Below are 7,277 nucleotides of genomic sequence, written 5' to 3'. Positions count from 1 at the left end.
CAATGTGCCTTTCTATCTTACCTTCTCACACAGAAACCCTCCTCTCTGGTCAGCCCAAGGTGTCCTTCTGGTGAGCATGAGGTGTCAGGCGGGTGGGACTAGGATGGCATAGACTAATGGGTCTCCACCGGTGATCCCTGGACTGGAAACATCAGCACCACTGGAACTCATTAGAAATGAATATTCTTAGTCCCCACCCTGCCCTACTGAATCAGAAACTCGAGGATGAAGCCCAGCAATCTGTTTTCATGAGCTCTCCAGGTGATGATGTGCTCTCGAGCTGGAGAAGCATTGCTACAGAAAGAATCAGAGAATGGAGGAATGAATGAAGAATCACTATTTCATTTCTGACAACAGATATGAAGTTTAACTGTAGAAAATCGGCCTAAAAGGATAGCACTCTTGAGGACAAAAAGATTTTCTAGATTTCTTTAGCGCTCATATTTAACATTTCAAGGGCTAAGCCAACTGAGTAGGTCATAACATTTTTTATTAGGAAAATAACAAAATTCCACTCCTTGCTACTCAGAGAGACAGTGGAAAGAGAACATCAGACAGAAGAGAGGAAAGAGAAGATATATTTGCCTTGCTATCGCCATCCCGAGACTTCTGCATAGGTGGCCTTTTGAATGCTGGGGACCAGGTGCTGTTGTATAGAGGGTGACGCTTACCAACTGGGGTGGGTCCCACCATAGTTAGGAGGGAAGAATGTTGTGGCCAAGCAGAGGGATGGTCTAGTTTGCATACCCGAGCCATCCCTGATTTCCATATGGAATTCACACTGGATTGAGAGCCAGAGAAGCCATTGGGGCAGAGAATACGGTGAGCCCAAAGGTGAGGCTGCAGGGTGTCTAGCCTGGGACACAGCAGTCACTTGGAAGGGTCTGCAGCATCTTTAAGGGAAGGAGCAGGCTGAGTCCCTGGGGAAGGTCCCAGGTCCCAGTCCTGACCCTAATTAGACCTGGACAAGAGGCACCCAAGGTCAAGTGCCTCAGGCCCCATATTTTAGCAGGCACAGCATGTCACACACACACACATACACACCCACATACACACTCGGGCGAATACATTGGTTAAATAAGGAATAAAAATAAAATATTCAGAATGAAATCATATAAAACTATTATCATGAGTTCATGTCCTTTGCAGGGACATGGATGAAGCTGGAAGCCATCACTCTCAGCAAACTAACACAGGAACAGAAAGCCAAACACCGCATGTTCTCATTAATAAGTGGGAGTTGAACAATGAGAACACATGGACACAGGGAGGGGAACATCACACACTGGGGCCTGTTGGGGGGTGGGGGGGCAAGGGGAGGGAGAGCATTAGGACAAATACCTAATGCATGCGGGGCTTAACACCTAGATGACGGGTTGATAGGTGCAGCAAACACTATGGCACATGTATACCTGTGTAACAAACCTGCACGTTCTGCACATGCATCCCAGACCTTAAGGTAAAATAAATAAATAAATAAATAAAGTAATTATCAAAAATAGTATACACAACCAAGCAAATATAATCGTATTTTATACGGAACGTAGGAATGAAAAACTGGAACATGTGAATCCACCTAATTCTTCCAATGACACTCTCCCAGAGTCATAAAAAGCCAAGTGCCTATGTGGATGGTTTTGTGGGATAAGAACACATGGGCAGCCGGGCGCGGTGGCTCACGCCTGTAATCCCAACACTTTGGGAGGCCGAGATGGGCGGATTACGAGGTCAGGAGATCGAGACCATCCTGGCTAACATGGTGAAACCCTGTTGCTATTAAAAATGCAAAAAAATTAGCCGGGCCTGGTGGCGGGCACCTGTAGTCCCAGCTACTCAGGAGGCTGAGGCAGGAGATTGGCGTGAACCCAGGAGGCAGAGCTTGCAGTGAGCAGAGATCGCACCATTGCACTCCAGCCTGGGCGACACAGCGAGACTCTGTCTCAAAAACCAAAACAAAACAAAACAAAAAAACACATGGCCATCTCCAATGCTTGTGATCCAGTGCCCGGGGCTGGCATGGCATGCCCGCAACCTAACATCTACTCTCGTGACTAGCACCGTCCAGATGCCAGGGATACACCTCACATACTTTGTGATCTCAAAACAAGATGACTGCTTCTCAGTGCTGTTATGGGTTGAGGTGGCCCCACTGCTGAGGTTAAAAGGGGAGATCGCACCACTTCAAAGCAGAGGGGCTTCAAGCAGAAGAAGCACTCGGTGTATGAAATTCTTTCTCTCAGCAGGAATACAATAGAATTATCCTATAAGTGCTAAATGTCCATTTTCTTGCTTCTCTTTATGTTCCAATTTGGAATCCCAGGGGAGCTCAAGGACAAGATCAGTATTCACAACAGATGTGTATGACTCATGGGATGCAGGACTTCAACTGTGTCATGGCAATGATATTCTCGAGAAAAATCATAGCTCGTATACAGTATTTTCTAGATTGGCCTAAAGGAGGGAAAAAATCTTGGTGAAACGCATGTTAACTTTGATATTACAACGACTTTAGTACATACAATGTTAAGTAAATCAACACAAGACGCTCAAGAGAAGATGCTCATATAAAGAATGAATTGAGCCCAGCGTGGTGGCTCATGTCTGTAATCCCAGCACTTTGGGAGGCCGAGGCAGGCAGATCACAAGGTCAGGAGTTTGAGACCAGCCTGACCAACATAGTGAAACCCCATCTCTACTAAAAATACAAAAAATTAGCCAGGCATGGTGGGCATGCGCCTGTGATCCCAGCTACTCAGGAGGCTGAGGCAGGAGAATTGCTTGAAACCAGGAGGTGGAGGTTGCAGTGAGCTGAGATCACACCACTGCACTCCAGCCTGGGCAACAGAGCAAGACTCCGTCAAAAAAAAAAAAAAAAAGTGAATTGCTTTGTACAAACATGAAATTCATTTTTAATTTGCACTGTTCATGGAATGTGGTTGGAACTGTTGCTTGCTATAAATATTAGCACAAACAAAAACTTAACTTTGGTTATTTTATTTTTTAAAGGATCAAAACTTTTTTAATTTTGGAAAAATACAGTTTGCCTAAATTGAAACAGGCTGCATGTGAAATGTAGAAAATTGTAACACTTCAATTAAAAATAAAATTAAAATAAGGAAACAAAACTGCTTGATTGTGAAGAAGATTTATGTAGAAATAATCTCCAAACTATTTCTATAGGCAACATTTTTGGCCCTTATGGATCAAGGCATAGTTTTCACTAAAGAGAGATCTGAACATTTTGAGCAGAGCATAGCTATTTTCATTTTTAAAAATATAATTATCTAAGAATTCAAAAGTTGAAAGAAGAAAAACTGAAGATAAACTATATGGAACAAAAGACCTGGTGATGACCACCTTACTCATGGTGTAAGTAATGATATTAATAAGATGAAATTGAATAATTGATAATGATATCTTCAGCAACAATTTTATTATATCATTATACAACAATTCCATTACAATGTTTCAACATGCATAAAAAAGTCATGGATTCATTCCAAATCAAATATTGCTTTAAAATTTTTATTGACAATTCTGTTTGCTAAACATTCTGCAAAGCAAGATTTCTCCAGATTGAAACTAAGGGAAAATATATACAAAGTATAATGATTCAGGAAATGTTATCTCATTTGGCATTACTATGAATGGAACCAAATTATGAAAATCTTGATCATAAAAATGTAATTAATGATTGTGCTAAAATGAAATCAAGAAAAATAAATCAATGAAATATATAACAAAATTCATTGAATTATGTATTCATTGTATGTCATGTAAATATCAACCCATCAACAGAACACTCAGATGTATAATTATAAATAAATTTGTCAATATTTTACTGACTTTCCAATTTACAAAAGCTATAGTTTTAAACATATTTTTCAATTTTGTCATTATAAAGATATATTTGTCAAGGTAAAGGAATGGAACATATTTAAAAGTGTGTCAGCTTGATTGCTAACTTTTAGGTATTCATATATCATAGCAGCCTTGCCCCCAGCCTTGCAAATGTTTGGGGCAAGCTGGCCAGGCCCTGACCAAGTCTGAGAAACAATAGACCATGAGATTAGCGGCCACAGTTGTCATGGGTGGATACCATAGAATGACCAGGGATAGGGGCACACCAAACATCCCTCAGCAGATGCCAGCCAGAATGCCCCAAGAACCAATATGAGGCTAGGCCACCCCTTCCTCCAAAACCTGGCAGTCATGGGCACCTCTCCTCAGGAACTATATTCCCTCTGCACCATACTGGAAAGCAGCAGAGTGGAATCTAAAAGACTGGTAAAATATAATAAAATCCTAAATTAAACCTCAAAAAAAAGTTAAACGATTGAATCAGATGAAGGGTTTAACTGGATTGTACTGTGTTACCTGTCAGCACCATCATTACCAAGTGCTGATAAGGAAGGTCAGGTTGATGTCTGAAAAATAAGGGAATTAAAATTTCTTTGTATATCCAAATGATAGTGAGAGTAAATAAACCCCACTGCAAGAGTAAATGAAGGCAGGTGGCAGAGGGCGGACAACCACCAAGGGACATTGCTGCTGAAGGCAGGCCCAGTGTGGCAGGAGAAGGGCAGGACACAACCACAGGACTTTCTGTCTTCAGACCCTATTAGACAACTTCCCTTGTTGCAAGCACACAAAGACTTTTACCTTTGATCAGACATCTGTGTTGGCCTCTAACTGGATAGCCCTTGCACTTGACATGGGGGAATGATTTCCTACTTTCACCCCATCTTAGTTCAGATTCTCTTCATTCCTGTGTCCATTCACAAAGAAACAAAACATTAGCCAAAGCAGCTAATTGATTGAGCTCCTAATGTGTGTTTTGTTCTTTCCCCTGTTAATAGAAATTAAAGCTGCTAAGGCAGAAATAATTTGAAGCCAGGCACAGTGGCTCATGCCTGTAATCCCAGCTCTTTGGGAGGCTGAGGTGGGAGGATCACTTGAGGCCAGGAGTTGGAGACCAATCTGGGCAATATGGTAAGACCCTGTTTTAACAAAAAATTAAAAGTACAAAAATAGGGAAAAAAAATTAGCCAGGTGCAGTGGTGCACACCTGCAGTCCTAGCTACTCCTACTCAGGAAGCTGAGGCAGGAGGATCACTTGAACCCAGGAGTTCAAAGCTGGAGTGAGCTATGATTGCACTCCAGCCTGGGTGACAGAGAAAAACCTGCCATAAAGAGAGAGAAAAGGAAGGAAGGAAGGAAGGAAGGAAGGAAGGAAGGAAGGAAGGAAGGAAGAAAGGAAAGAAGGAAGGAAAGAAAGAAAGGAGGGAGGGAGGGAAATGAACAGAAGGCAGGGAAATACTGGGTAGAAGAGGGCTGTTCCCCTGCAAAGGCCCCACCCTCAAGCCTGAGAACCCGAGGCCCTAAATAAGAACAGGCATTCCTGTTTTCATGCCCAAATGTTGCCTTTTGGCCCGCCATGCCCCCACCTCCCATCCTGTGTCCATATAAACCCCTAAACCCCAGGATTCGTGAGGAAAAGAGCAGCAGAGTGGTACGACACAGAAGGAGAAAAGAGAGGAAGCATCTGAACATCCAGAGGAGTTCGGCTAGGGGTGGTCAGAGAAGAGATCGGCTGTGGGATGGCTGAACTCCAGGAGAAGATTATCTTCCCACTCCATCCCCTCTCCAGCTCCCTATCCTGCTGAGAGCCACCTACATCACTCAATAAAATCCCTACATTCTCCATCCTTCAAGCCCTTGTGACCTGATTCTTCCTGGACATTGGACTAGAATTTGGGACGCACTAGGTGCAGGAATCCAAAAAGGCTGTCACACTGACTCTTCACTGAACTGTTTAACACTCAAGCAATCCCCAGACGGCAGGGCTAAAAGAACATTGTAATACACCTAAACACTGCCATGGGACTGGAGCCCAAAAGCACTCGCCTTGGCTCCTGCACCTGCTCACCTGCATGCTTCCCCTCCTGTAAGGGTTTTGAGCACATGGTGTCCAAATAAATGAGCCAAACCCCTGTTGCACATTCTGTGAGGGGGGTCAGGGAACTCTCCTGTTTCAGAAGGAAGGAAGGAAGGAAGGAAGGAAGGAAGGAAGGAAGGAAGGAAGGAAATTAATAAAGTTTTATTGGAACCCAAATGTGAGGATGGGCCCAGGAAAACACACCAACAAAAGTGGGAGTATTCCAGAATCTGTTATAAGTTGGACAGGCTTTCATAGGAGAGTTTAGAAGGGAGGACTCCTCACTCTACAGTTGTCCATTTCCACTGGAGGGCATAATATAGAAACTGCAATCATTGGTTACAGATTGCTACACAGGTGCTAAAATGTCTACCTGTGTGACAATCAGTAAAACCTCATGACTCAGAAATAAATCTGCGTCCTTTGTTCTTTGTCAGTAGGTCTTACATTAATCAGTACGTCAACAATTTGTATCACTCAATATAAGATTCTTTACTCAGGAACTGGGTGTCATCATGAATCACAAGACTTCCCCAAGGTTGGTTAATCTGAAAGCCTGTTTGCTCTTCAAGTAAACTGACAAATGTGATTTGTAGGTTATCACCACTATATGTATACTTTCCTCTTCCAGGTGATCAATGTAGACTGGAACAGAGGACACTTCCCTAAATGTTCTGCAGTGCTGAAGCACCCTCTCCTAAATTTTTATGCAGCATGAGGGAGACCCACTAATGAATCTGTCTGTGGAGCAGGATTAACTGGAAATTAATTGCATTAAAGAAAGAAATACGGTGAGGTTTTTTTGCATCTTAGCATTTTGGACTTTTGGACTAAAATGTGTATCCGCTACTTATCATTCACATTACAGGAGACTCCTAAAGACTGAGAAGCGCTTAAGTCCAACAGTAGGGAGTGAGGTACAATTGGGTGAAGGCGGTGGGTGGAAAACTCTCTGAATCAAAGCACATAATTGGTCCTATTTGCTCCTAACTTAAAAAAAAAATCCATGCTGCAAAACAAATGCCTTTGCAATACAATCTCAAATAGAACGTTAGGACTAATTGGCTCATTCCAAGGGCTCCAGATATAATAAGCAAATGTGTTGACAGGATATTCCTCCCATCTTTTTTGTTGTTTCTTTTTTCCCTTTGCAGCCTGGAAATGTTTAGAAATCTAGTTGGCATAATAAACAAACAAACAACTAAAAGCAGCAGTCATCTTCATTTTTAGTACTGAAAATGTAAACCCTGAACTTTAAACACAAAAGAAATCAAAGTGAATAAAAACAGACTGTGGAGCCAGGCTGATTAATAAACAGCTCAGTACATAATGAAGAAGG

The 7,277-nt window shown here is 42.4% G+C and overlaps 1 long non-coding RNA gene across 2 annotated transcripts in view; it reads right to left on the bottom strand.

Annotated features, from left to right (window-relative positions):
* Positions 1–1,983: 1,983 nt before the first annotated feature.
* The window catches only part of LOC105374911 (uncharacterized), a 43,091-nt gene continuing 37,797 nt past the window's right edge, over positions 1,984–7,277 (bottom strand). Inside the window, exons 4-5 of one of the 2 annotated variants that reach the window (XR_007059438.1) lie at positions 4,663–4,768; positions 1,984–2,451 (exon numbers count right to left, since the gene is read on the bottom strand). This is a non-coding gene — a long non-coding RNA (uncharacterized LOC105374911). Of the gene's footprint in view, positions 2,452–3,808; positions 4,769–7,277 lie in introns of those variants that run through there. The other variant, XR_926444.3, reaches the window with a different exon arrangement.

Source organism: Homo sapiens, chromosome 6 (genome assembly GCF_000001405.40).
Source record: "Homo sapiens chromosome 6, GRCh38.p14 Primary Assembly".
NCBI lineage: Eukaryota > Metazoa > Chordata > Mammalia > Primates > Hominidae > Homo > Homo sapiens.
This window is presented reverse-complemented; position numbering and strand designations above follow the sequence as displayed.